General features: G+C 43.7%; 1 pseudogene, besides 2 other annotated features; it reads left to right on the forward strand.

The window, feature by feature from the left end:
• Positions 303-1,180: an enhancer, noted in NCBI's record as "H3K27ac-H3K4me1 hESC enhancer chr2:99391147-99392024 (GRCh37/hg19 assembly coordinates)". NCBI's record gives its function as "activates a minimal SCP1, AML or CMV promoter by ChIP-STARR-seq in naive H9 embryonic stem cells {active_cell/tissue: H9 hESC(naive)}" and the evidence as "EXISTENCE:reporter gene assay evidence [ECO:0000049][PMID:30033119]".
• Positions 4,179-4,743: an enhancer, noted in NCBI's record as "NANOG hESC enhancer chr2:99395023-99395587 (GRCh37/hg19 assembly coordinates)". NCBI's record gives its function as "activates a minimal SCP1, AML or CMV promoter by ChIP-STARR-seq in naive H9 embryonic stem cells {active_cell/tissue: H9 hESC(naive)}" and the evidence as "EXISTENCE:reporter gene assay evidence [ECO:0000049][PMID:30033119]".
• RNU4-84P (RNA, U4 small nuclear 84, pseudogene) lies at positions 8,029-8,172 on the forward strand (annotated as a pseudogene).

A 13,830-nucleotide genomic window follows, 5' to 3' on the forward strand; every position in this document is an offset into this window, starting at 1 on the left:
TCAGAACAGAGGTCTGGGAGGAAATAAAGGTGGGAGTTGTTAGCATACAGATGATAGCAATGTCACATAGATGAAAACAAAAATTTTCAGCAAGTTTTCATGGATTTTAGAATAAATTCTAAATGCCTAAGCATGGTCTCCAACAATGCCCCCGCCCCTCAGCTTGCCCTTGCTCTTGGTTTGGGTCTCAGCGCCGGCTCCCCTCCTCCACCCTCCCTTGCCCCTCCCCTTCATCCACTTCCTGCAAGATGGTGGATGCCATACCTGCCTTGGGTGGTTCGGGCTTCAATACTGAAATACCATAGACTGTGTGGCCTATAAACAACATGCTTATTTTTCACACTTCTGGAGGTCTGGAAGTTCATGATTAAGGGGCAGATTTAGTGTCTGGTGAGGGCCCAATTTCTGGTTCATAGATGGTGACTTCTGTCTGTGTCCTCCCATGGTGGAAGGGGCGAGGGGGCTCCCTGGGGCCTCTTCTTGTAGGAACCTATCCCATTCATCAGGGCCCCACCCTCATGACCTAACCAGCTCTCAAACGCCCCACCTCCTAACACCAGCACACGGGTGTTAGGCTTCAACATAGGAATTTGGGGGGACATCAACATCCAGACCTCAGCAGGGCTTCTCCTGCTTACTCCAGCAGATCCTCTGGCGGTGGTGACCGCCATGTGCCCTGCATGGAAGGGCCGTTCTGTCTCTGCCCCAGGACTTGCCCAACTCCTCTGCCCAGTGAGCTGACAGCCCACTGGGGGCAGAGACATCCTTGTCACTAGCCCCGTGTTTCCTCAGTGCTTACCCAGTGCCTGGCTCATGGTGGATGTTCAGTGAGCATGTGTCAGAAGAAGACATTATGCTGTGAGCTCTCTGAAGCTTGTGAGCTGGCCCCAGGGAATGCAAGTCCAACTGTCTTTGGTGTTGGAGGTAACTGAACACCAAGTCCTGGCCAGTCTCTCCCGGATGCTGTGCACTGTGTTCTCAGGGAGGCAGGAGGACTCGCAGCGGATGCCAGGGACACGTGCCCATTTCTTCCTCCCACGTCAGCCTCCCCTTTTCCGGCCACATTTCAAACAAGTCTCAAAAGCCTGACCATGCCATGTAGCTTTTCCAAACTCACCTTGAGTAAACACACAGCTGCTGCCTCTCACCCACTGAGCTCAAATCTATCATCATTTTTGTATTGTGCACTCATGTATGGTTTGGCTGCATGCAACAAGGTGCCGATCTGCCTCTTCATGGAAGCATCGAGGGTCTTGGACCGTGAACTGCTGTGGTGAGACGACGAGAAGGGGACATTGGGATTTAGCAGTTGGCACAAGGCCTCCTGGAGCAATTCCAGGACCCCTCTGGGGAGTTACAATGGTGGTGACAGGGAAGATTTACCATCTGGGACTGTGCTAGGTGCCAAGCGAAGCAGAGCTTGTCAGGTTCCTGGAACCGAGTATTAACGATTCCAATCAAGCAGGAAATGTCTGTGCCTGTTCTTTGCTAAGCTGGATTCCTCGCTCACTAGGCATCAAGGTGCCTGCGGAGTACGCTAGGCATGAGAAAGGTCTCGGGAGGCCGAGAGTGCCTGGCCTGCCCTCTGGCCCCACCCCAGGTCACGCTTGGGGTCCCTGTAGGCTGCTCACTGGTAATGGAGGAAGCCTTCATGGACTTGGGTCCCATCAGGCTGGCTCTCGGAGAAGCCCTGCAGAACTGTGGTTTGGTTTTAATGAGGGGAGAAGATTCCAAAAGTTTATCATGAAAAGCCCCATGACCACCTGTGTTTTAGAGACTTTGATGACTTCAGAGGCCTTGAAATACAATCCCAGAGAAAAACAGTCAGCTTTGGACATGTGTGTTTGTGTGTGCGTGCATGTGTGTGTGTTTTGGTGGGGGATTCCTAATTCTCACCCCCTAGCCTTCCTCCTGAGCTGGAAGCCAGCCTTGAACAGGCAAGGGTGGGTTCTTAACTTCCTCAGAGCTGGCTGAGAACCACAGAGGCAATTCCAAGTCAGATTAAACCCAGAGCCTTGTTCCAGCTTCTGTGTTTAAAGGGAAAGTCATTGTATATTCCTCCTGGATGCCCTCCTGCCCCCAGAGTCTCACTCCTGTGTCTGAACAGTGGGTGACTTCTCTCAGTGAGCATAGTTTTTGTTGATCATGATTTGCCAATCTGTTTCTGAAGTGGGGGGAAATTATAGCTGGTAAATTCTCAGTCTGGACAACACACAATGTCACTTTGCAATAAAATGTGTGAGGACAGATAAGATAGTTATTGTCCTTGCAACATTAGAGATCACCATTAGGTGGTATATTAGTCTAGATTCTCAGAGAAACAGAACCAGTAGCATATAGATATACAATTATGTACTGTATAACAATGTTTTGGTGAATGACAGGCCACATATGCAACAGTATTTTTATTGTGCCTTTTCTCTCTCTTTTTTTTTTTTTTTTGAGATGGAGTCTCTCTCTCTGTTCCCCAGGCTGGAGTGCAGTGGGGTGATCTCGGCTCACTGCAACCTCTGCCTCCTGGCTCCTGGGTTCAAGCGATTCTTTTGCCTCAGCCTCCTGAGTATCTGGGACTACAGGAGTGCACCACCACATCCAGCTAATTTTTGTATTTTTAGAAAAGATGAGGTTTCCTGATTTTGGCCAGGCTGGTCTCAAACTCCCAACCTCAAGTGCTGGGATTACAGGCATGAGCCACTGCGCCCAGCCTTACTGTGCCTTTTCTATGTTTAGATACACAAATACTTACCATTGTGTTACATTGCCTAGAGTGTTCAGTACAGTATCGTGCTGTATAGGTTTGTAGCCCAGGAGCAACAGGCTACACCACAAAGCCTATAGGCTTGTTTAAGTGCGTTCTATGATGTCCACACAATGACTTAATTGCCTAACAATGCGTGTTTCAGAATGTATCCTCATTGTTAAACAATGCATGACTGCATATGAAGAGATTTATTATACGGTATTGGTTCACGTGAGTATGGAGGCTGAGAAGTCCCACAATCTGCTGTCTGCAAGCTGGAGACTCAGGAAAGCTGGTGGTTAATTCAGAGGCCTAAGAGTTGGAGGGTCAATGGTGTAGATTGAGTCTGAAGGCCTGAAAAGCAGGAGCACTGGGGGAAGATGGCAAGCATCAGACAGAGAGATGGCAAATCCTCCTTCCTGCTCCATTTTTATTCTGTTTGGGTCTTCAATAGATTGGGCAATGCCTACCTGTATTGCTGATGGCAATCTGCTTTACTGAGCCCACTAATCCAAATGATAATCTCTTCCAGAAACACCCACACAGACAAATACAGAAATAATGTTTAACCAGCTATCTGGGCAACCAGTGACCTAGTCAAGTTGAAACATAAAATTAACTACCACAAGTGTCATGGTAGCTTTTTTCCCTCTAAGTAGCTAAAATAAAGGTTAGACAATGCCCATTGTACCCTATTACAGAATGAAGGAATGAAGCCTACACTCTTTGGCATTCTGAAAACAGAGTTGCCAGCCAGGTGTGTCCCTGCATCAGCACTGGGAGCTGTTTTTCATTCCCCAGGTCCAACCCTGTCATAAAAGCGCAAGCTGAGCAATTAACAATTTGCAGATGATATTTAAGCAGTGCCTCAGAGGGAAAAGAAAAAAACAACATGCCCTTTCTTTTCTGTTTTTAGTAACATTCTTGGTAACATATTTATGCATTTTGTACAGAGGACATAAGTAAATATTGTGGAAAAACACATTTTATACCTTCCAAGGCCTTAATAATCATGGCAGTTATCAAAGGCCCAAGAAGGCCTCAGCACTAAATCACGTGGCTTCAGAAATGCATGAATAAATCTGTAGTCAAGCCTTTGCAGAGGAAATGTGAACTACAAATCAACTGGCCTCAGACAATTCATTTATTTAATTTGTCCTTTGGATTTACAAAGAGATCCAATTAATTTAGAGATGCTTCCATTGGCACTTGCTGCTCTGGAGGGCCCCTCGCTGAGAATATTGAGTTCCTGGAACCAATGACTCACATCGTTTATTTCTGTGCATTGTGCTCAGCCCCTGGAACCCAGCTTTCCCAATTTTAGAAGGTCAAGGGATTAACCTGTTCAGCATTTTATTTATGTATTTACTTATTTGAGTCTCACTTTGTTGCCCAGGCTGGAGTACGGTGGTGTGATCTTGGCTCACTGCAACCTCCACCTACAGGTTTCAAGTGATTCTCCTGCCTCAGCCTCCCAAGGAGCTGGGAGTTACAGGCGTCCACCACCACGCCCAGATAATTTTTGCATTTTTAATGGAAACAGCAGTTCACCACGTTGGGCAGGTTGGTCTCAAACTCCTGGCCTCAAGTGATCCGCCCGCCTCATCCTCCCAGAGTGCTGGGATTACAGATGTGAGCCACCACATCAGGTCCTTTCAGCATTTTAAAGGGAACTCATTACCTAAATTGAGATGCTAAAAGGACTTTGCCCCAAGGGAGAACTCTTCAAGCTGACAGCCTGGCTTGGAAAACACCCACTGGATCACCAAATACTGACTGAGGCTTAAAGAGAGTTCTAAGAGCCTTTGTTGGGAACACCAAGCCCAGGACCACTCAAGCCAGTGTGTGTTTGGGCTCAGAACTCTCTGGAATGATTCACCTCACTCTCAGTGCAGCTGAGGTTGTTGACGTCACTCTTAGCTTCCCAGGCTGTTAAAATATCAATCATACCAATACACAGGGAGAAAGGAGAAAACAGTTCAGCCTAATGGATTAATGACGTTCTTTTGAATACCTCCTAGAATATGAAGAACTGAAGCTTTCCTCAAGATAACCTTTAGGAAAACTAACAGCTTCAAAGAGAAGAACCAAGATAAGCAACCCAAGGTTGGTTCCCAGGGAAAGGAGAGACGATTCAAGATGTGGACGTCTCAGAGCGCCATGTCAGCACATTGCTTCCAAGAAACAACAGTAGGTTGACCCAGTAAAGGTGCAGAGAACAAGAGTTCTTGAAGATTATTGGTTAGACTGAAAATTGAAACGTGACATGATTTTGAGTATTTACTGGAGTATAAGAAAAAAGAACCCATGTGACTTTGATGCTTGGAACTGATTTAGTACCAGTGAATTATATTTATTTCTCCAATCACACTACTTAGTTCTGCAATGACTAATATTTATATAATTAAAATAATGTAAATATTGTTTCTTCGGTTGCAATTTTTAGAATCAACTTCTGGCAGAGCACCAAAGACCTAATTAATTTACAAAACAGAATGCAAACATTATAATATGGGTGCTGTGAAAGTAACAGTAGCATTAATAGCAGTCGGGCAAAGATGGGGAGAAGGGTAGGGTGAGGAAGGAATAGCAAGATCCTCATGTTGCCCAGGGGAGGCTCAAGAGGAACGGTCTCCTGTTAATGGAAAAAGAAACAGCAAAGTTATAAAGGGAAACAAACCAATGGGAAAAACTATTAATATATGTTGATGAAAGACAAGTCTTAGAGGGTTGCGGAGGAAAGAGTGTAAGAAAACAGCCTGTTGCAAGGCAAGAGTAATGCCACCTGAAGTGAAATCACCATCAGGATCGATGTTTGACTCCTGAATACCAAGGTGTTCCTGCAGTCAGGCCAAGAAACAATTCCTGTAGCATAGATAACCCCTTATAAAGATGCTTATCTAACTTTCCCAGTGGTCACACACTTTGTGGGAGGGTCTGAGACGTGACCAACTGTACATGTTTTACCAAAAGCAGCTTGCTATATAAAGACTACTTTCTGGAGGGCAAGTATAGGAATCAACCGTCTCTTGGCCACCAGAGATATTGCTTCTGTTTGTTAGTTCCTATTAAATGTTTCTTTCTTTCTTAGCTAGATGCGGTGACTCATGCCTGTAATCCCAGCACTATGGGAGGGTGAGGCAGGCGAGTGTCACCTGAGGTCAGGAGTTCAAGACCAGTCTGGCCAACATGGTGAAACCTCATCTCTACTAAAAATACAAAAATTAGTCAGGCGTGGTGATGCACTCCTGTAATCCCAGCTACTTGGGAGGCTGAGGCAGGAGAATCACTTGATCCCAGGAGGCGGAGGCTGTAGTGAGGTGAAATCATGCCACTGCACTCCAGCCTGGGCAACAGAGTGACTTTTTTTTTTTTTTTTTTTGAGTTAGGGTATGACTCTGTTGTTCAGGCTGGAGTGCAATGGCATGATCATGGCTCACTGCAACCTCCGCCTTCCAGGCTCAAGTGATCCACATCAGTCTCCCAAGTAGCTGGGACTACAGGCATGCACCACCATGCCCAGCTAATTTTTGTATTTTTGGTGGAGATAGAGTCTCATTATGTTGCCTAGGCTGGTCTCAAACTCCTGGGCTCAAGGGATCTATCTGCCTCAGTCCCCCCAAAGTGCTGGAATTACAGGCATGAGCCACCATGCCCAGCCTAAATGTTTCTTTCTGAGAAACTGGATTTGTTAGTCTCTTTCTTTTACCTCTCAGCTCCTTTGGCCTCTGGGGGTGGGTTTACCTGCTTATCACAGAAAAAAGAGGTAATGTAAGACAGGAAATTTTATTTTTTAAAAAAAGTGTTTTAATTTTTAGTTTTTTTATTTTTTGTGATGGAGTCTTGCTCTGTTGCCTAGGCTGGAGTATTGTGGCATAATCTTGGCTCACTGCAACCCCCACCTCCCAGGTTCAAGCAATTCTCCTGCCTCAGCCTCCCAAGTCTCTGGGAATTACAGGCACCTGCCACCATGCCCAGCTAATTTTTGTATTTTTATTGGAGATGGAGTTTCACCACGTTGGCCAGGCTGATCTCAAACTCCTGACCTCAAGTGATCTACCCGCCTTGGGCTCCCAAAGTGCTGGGAGGAAATTTTCTCATGTTTCATGGTTGGGTGAGGGAGTCTCAATAGATTAATATATCAATAAATAGAGTTATAAGCCTATATTACATAGAATTATGTGTGCATCCACCCAAAGAATGCAAAAAATAGTTAAATGTGGTTATCCTGGAGAGCAGGACTCCTTCATGGAGAGCAAGACTTTGCTCATTTAATATTATTCTATAGCTCAGGAATCAGTTAACTATGGCCCACAGGCTGGCTGCCTCTTTTGTAAATAAAGTTTTATTGGGACACAGTCACACTCATTTGTATAAATATGTGGATGTATGAGTGTATGGATGACTTTGTGTTGATAATGGGAGAGTTGAGTAGTTGTGACAGAGAGCACATAGCCTAAAATATTTGTCATTTGGCTTTTTAAGAAAAAATTTGCTGACCTCTGCTATAGACTATGATTAAAAAAAAAACCCATATGTATGCTTTATCCTGATTTTAAAAAATTAAAGTGGGGGGAAAGTCTAAGCTGCCCATTTTTCAAAGTCTATTTCCAAACCACTGTAGACTTGAACTGTAGGTTATAAAACCTCCACATAACTTCTTTTCATTCCTAAATTGTCTCTAGTCACATGCATTTGATCCTGGAACTGGAATATTCACCATATTGTTCTATTTAATATTTCCAGCTCTCAATAACAACAACAAAAATGTGGCATACAAAAAACCATGAAAAGCACACTCTGAAGAGATGAAGCAAACATTGGGACCAGACTCACATATGATACAGATGTTGGAGCTATCAGACATTAATTATGATTAATATGTTAAAGGATCTAAAGGAAAAGGTAGACAGCATGCAAGACCAGATAGGTAATTTCAGCAGAGAAATGGAAACCATTATAAAGAATCAAATGGAAATAAATACTAGAAACAAAACACAGTAATGGAGATGAGATGCGCTTTTGATGGGCCCATCAGTATAATTTGTAGAGCTGGGTAGAGAATAAGTAAACTTAAAGATATTACCCAAAATAAAATGCAAAGAGGAAAAAAGCAAAAAAAATCTCAAGACAGTACAGATAATCCAAGAACTGTAGGACAATATCAGAAATATCAGACAGTCTAACATAAGCATAATTAGAATTCCAGAAGAAGAAGAAAGATAAAATTAGGCAGAAAACGTATCTGAGAAAAATAATGGCTGAGAACTTTTAAAAATTAGTGACAGAGCTTTATGCAGTGGCAGTATCATAGCCAATGAGGTTTATCTGAGGTGTGATTATTGCTAATTGAAAACTTTTCCCAATACTCCACCATGATGACTTGAAATATAGTCAGCATTGGCAATTTTTGACAGTCTGTACAGACACTGAATTTTATAGTTAAAAAGAAGAAAAAACTTAGAGACACAGAATCAAAGACCTAAGAATACCAGAGCACACCAGCAGGATAAATACCAAAAACAAAGAAACAAACATACCTACACATATCATATGTAAACTGCTGTAAATCAAAGACAAAGAGAAACTCTTGAAGGTGATCAGAGAAAATAAACATGCTATCTATTGAGGAACAAGGATAAGAATTACAACAGACTTCTGTCAGAAACCATGCAAGCCAGAACACAATGGATTAACATCTTTAAAGTACTAAATGAAAAAAAAAAAAAAGGCTGGCAATCCAAAATTCTATACCTACTTAGAATATCCTTAAAAAGATATGAGAAGTAAAAACCTTCTCAGGCAGACAGAGACTGAGGAAATTCATTGCCAGTAAACCTACTCTACCATAAATACTAAAGGTAGATCTTTAGGCCGGGTGCGGTGGCTCACGCCTGTAATCCCAGCACTTTGGGAGGCCAAGATGGGCAGATCACAACGTCAGGAGATCAAGACCTTCCTGGCCAACATGGTGAAACCCTGTCTCTACTAAAAATACAAAAAAAAAAAAAAAAAAAATTAGCTGGGCATGGTGGCGGGTGCCTGTAGTCCCAGCTACTTGGGAGGCTGAGGCAGGAGAATGGTGTGAACCCAGGAGGTGGAGCTTGCAGTGAGCAGAGATCGCATCACTGCACTCCAGCCTGGGTGACAGAGCGAGACTCTGTCTCAAAAAAATAAATAAATAAATAAAAAATAAAGGTAGATCTTTAGGGAGAAGGAATATGATAAAGGTCAAAAAAGCACCAAAATAAAATAAATAAAAGCAAAGTAAAACATTTTTTCTTTATTTATATTTCCTCTAAAAGATAACTGTTAAAAGCAAACATGGTAACAATAGAATATGTGTTTATAACATATGGAAAAGTGAAATGTATGGCAAACAAGGCACAAGAAATGGGAAGGAAGAATTGGAAATATATTTTTATAAAATGCTTACAATAACGGTGGAATTGCATAACGTTATTTGAAGGCATACTCAGATTATTTTAAAATGTATATTTTAAATGCTAGAGCAACCACTAAAACTGTTTTTAAAGTATAAATGAGATAAAATTGAGTCATAGAAATACTTTAATAGAGGGGATATTCAATATTGATATATTAATAGAAGAGACAAAATTGAATCATAAAAAATACTTCCAGTTTGGGCAACATAGGAAGACTCTACCTATGAAAAAAAAAATTAGCCAGCCATGATGGCACAAGCCTGTAGTTTGGGAGACTGAGGTGGGGGGATTGCTTGAGCCTAGGAGGTCGAGGCTGCAGTGAGCTGTGATTGAGCTACTGCACTCCAGATTGAATGGCAGAGTGAGACGCTCTCAAAATAAAATAAAATAATAGAAAAATAAACACAGAGAAGGTTGTAAAAGAGAAAAAAATGCAAACAACAAATAGAAAACAGCTAGTAACGTGGTAAATTTAAATCTGACCATATCAATAACCATTTAAAATATGAATGGTCTAAACATGCCAATTAAAAGACTATGACTGAATAAAAAAGCGTGCCTCAAGTTTATGCTGTCTACAATAAACCCACTTTAAAGATAAGACATACATACATTAAAAGTAAATGGATGGAGGCCAGGCATGGTGGCTTATGCTTGTAATCCCAGCACTTTGGGATGCCAAGGCAGGCAGATCACTTGAGGCCAGGAGTTTGAGACCAGCCTGGCCAACATGGCAAAATCTCATCTTTACAATTAAAAATGAAAAAAAAAAAAAAGGAAATGGTTGGAGAAATGTACACTATGCAAACACCAGCCAAAAGAAAGCTGGAGTAGCTGTATTAATTTTAAAGTAAACTTAAAACACGGAAGATAATCAGGAATAGAGGCATTATATAGTAATAAAGGGGTCAATTATCCAAGAAGACCTAACAGTTCTCTACGTGTTTGCACCTAACCACAGAGGCTTCAAAATCCCCAAGAAAAAAACTAATAGATTTGAAAGGAGAAATAGAGAAATCCACAATTACAGTTTGAGAGTTCAACACTCCTCTTTCAGTAAATGATGGAATAAGTAGGCAAAAAATCAGTAAGGATATAAATGACCCAAACAACACGATCAACCAATTTGGTCTAATTAACATTTATAGGACTTTTTACCCAACAACAGCATTTCTCAATTGTACATGGAACATTAATTAGCCAAGAATATTTGCCATATTTTGGGCTACAAAATGCCCATGTAAAGGCAATATTCCATATAACAGGTAGTTGTGGTCTGATATGTAGCTGAGAAGAGCAGGTTTGGATTGTTTCAAACAAAGTTCCTCTTTTCTTTTGCCTGTCTCCTTCTTTCCATCTCTGCTGCCCTTCTACTCCCACTAAGAAACCCTGCATGGAAACATTCATGTAACTGATTACCTTCTTTATTAATCCATTCCATAGACATTAGCTAGACACCTGCTGTGTACCAGGTGCACCACCATGCTGACGACTGACTGGGTGTAAAGTAAAAGACGGCATTGCCAGGGCTGGTGAGTGCCTCACAAATGAAGACTGCAGCCTTCTCCAGACTGAATCAAAGCAATGTACTGAGAAGGAGGGAGGGGCACAGAGACTGAAGGTATTGGAAACTAGGGAGAGCAAATAGAACTAAAAATGGAAGGTGATTCTTTTTCTTTCTTTCTTTCTTTTTTGTTTTTGGAGACAGTCTCGCCCTGTCACCCAGGCCGGAGTACAGTGGCGCGATCTCAGCTTACTGCAATCTCTACTTCCTAGGTTCAAGCGATTCTCACGCCTCAGCCTCTGGAGTAGCTGGGATTATAGGCACGCACCACCATGCTGGCTAATTTTTGTATTTTTGGTAGAGATGAGGTTTCACCATGTTGGCCAGGCTGGACTGGAACTCCTGACCTCGTGATCCACCTGCCTCAGCCTCCCAAAGTGCTGGGATTACAGGCATGAGCCACCACACCCAGACTCTTTTTCTTAATAAAAAGCTGTCTGCCACAAGTATCAAAAATAAGCTGGCCTTATTTGTGGCTGACCACAAAGGCTCAGAGTTGGTAGGGCCCAAGAGGTCACCTCTCCTAGCCTAGACCCAGAGAGGCAACTGCAATCCCAAATGTAGACCACACTAGACTTGTAGGTTAATCAGGACTGCCATAACACAGTATCCCAGACTGGGCAGCTTAAACAAGAGAAATTTTTTTTCATAATTCTAGAGACTGAAAGTCAAAAATTAAGGTGTCAGCAGGGTTCATTTTTTCTGAGGCCTTTCCTTGGCTTGTAGACGGCCACCTCTGTCTTCATATGGTCTTCCTTCAGCGTGTGTCTGTGTCTTAATCTCCTTTTCTTCTTGGTACACCAGTCATACTGAATTAGGGCGCACACTAGTGACTTCATTTTACTTTGATTACCTCTTTAAAGACCCTGTCTCCAAACACAGCCAATTATGAGGCATTAGGTTTAAGACTTCCACATATGAATTTTGAGGGACCCAATTTAGCCTATAGTGTAGCTCTGAAGCCCAGCCTCCCATGGGAAGAGATCATAGAGAGAAGAGAGCTCTGAAACCCTGCTATGGCCAGTGCAGAGGTATCCACTGGATGCACGGAACTCTTGCCTGTAAGGGTGGCAGCTGCTGGGACCCAGGTCCCCTGTAGTCACATTCAGGGTCCCCATTGATCCAAGACATACCTGTCTCTAGCCAGTGCCAGGAAGGCTGGCTCTGATCTTGGCCACTGTGAGTTTAGTGCCCAGCCCTATATCCTTTGTAAACTCCTCATTTCAGCACCACTGGTGGACAGTGCTCTGACAGGACAGGGCAATTTGAGGCAGAGGCTCTGGTGGGCTGCCCTACACCCAGCATTATGGCGGGCGTCCAACCACTGCCTCCTGCTCTGCCTCAGGGGAGCCTGGGCAGCCCGCACTGGCGGAAGCACCTGATCCTTACAGATGAGATGGTAAGTGGGACGGCAGGGGTAAGTGGTGATGGAAACAATCCCTCTGCCCCCTCCTTGGGAGAGATGGAGAATCTAAATATAAAGGCTTCTGCTCCTGAAAGATTGAGTTGAAAGATAATGCAATTTTGCATTATCGTAAGTTTGATGGCAGAATTCTTCTTCCCATGGGAAATCTTTCAGGAGCAACTCGTTCTTACTGGATAGTGAGCTCAATACTGAATTTCAGTTTTTCTGCAAGTGGAATAGCAGCTGTCAAACTGGGCGTTTGGCAGGGAGGGCCACTCAGGCTATAAGGTCTGCAGGTCTGGAGGCCTCTGGCCTGCCTGCACACTTTCAGGGTGCTCTCTGGAGAGGCCGGACTCCTGGGGCACACCCTAACCACCAGCCCAGCCGCCGCTGTTTCTAGTCACCTTCTGGACATCACACACACCTCTCTTTTCTTTCCATGAGAATAAGGATAATTTCCCAACAGAGAAGGCAGGAAGGAAGCTAGACAATGCATAGAAAGCAAATGTCACCCAACACGCATGTGTTCAGCCTGCATTATTTCTGCTATTTGATCCAAAAACACCTATTCACTACAGATTATTTCCATCGATCAAGGGATAAATATTTCCCTCCACACAGGAGTTCAACAGAACCAACTGAAGGGCTCAGGGGTGGGGCTGGGGAAACAGATGTGTACGGGGCCCAGAAGGACCGTCTTCTGACTGGCTGGTTCTGCATGGCTGCCTTCTGGTAATAAAAAGCTGTCAAAGCATTCTGGACAATGACATTCTACATAAAAGCCTACTTGGAGGACTTTCTGAATGATTACTTCTTGGTAATAAATAGTAAGAAGAGCACTATATAAAATGCCCCTGCCTCAGATAGTACCTGTTGTAGTTCAAGATGCAGAGTGGCTCCAGGCTGGGGAGGCCGCTTAGTTCAGACTTCCTCTGAGGGTGAGGATCCGTATAGCATCCTGGAGGGGTGAGGTCCTCTGGCAGCCTGCCCCCTCAGGTGCCAGAGAGCTCACTCCTGACCAGACATCCTGTCCTGCACTGAACGGCTCTCACAGTTAAAACATGTCTTTCTTTGTCCTCTCAAACATTCATTTATGGTCCTGGTTTCTTCCCTGTGGCATTATACAGAATGAGTCCCTTTTCTCTTCCTCTTTCCTTCCAACAGATGCTGTCGGAACCTCTCCTCCCTCCCCTGGGTCTCTCTGAGCTAAGCCTCTCGCTTCTGTGAAGTCTCACCCACAGGAGACTTTCTCGCCTGCCATCCTGGTTGTCCTCACATGAACCTTCTCTAGAAGTTAAGGATTTGTATTGGGGGTGGGGGTGGTGCATATCACTTCCGCCTACATTCCAGGAGCCAGGACTTGATTACAGGCCTAGGCAGTTGTGTGTGTTGGGTGGGAGGGGGCTGAGGCTGGCGATGCGGTTCCCAACTGGGCATTTGCTTCCAGAACAACTCCATACCATGCGAGGGGACCACAGGTGTTTGAGGTATGCCTCCAGCTATCTCTGCTGCACAGCCTGAGACAGCCTGCTGTTCGGGAGGTGTTAAATAACATTTTCTCATACTGTGCTTACGCTTATATTCTTAACCCCAGCTAAAATGTTAACTTTAAAACAACTAAGGAGTTTTCACTTCAAGATCCAGAAAAATAATATGAAAAACCTGTTGCTGTGTA

The sequence above is a fragment of the Homo sapiens genome, chromosome 2, assembly GCF_000001405.40.
Source record: "Homo sapiens chromosome 2, GRCh38.p14 Primary Assembly".
NCBI lineage: Eukaryota > Metazoa > Chordata > Mammalia > Primates > Hominidae > Homo > Homo sapiens.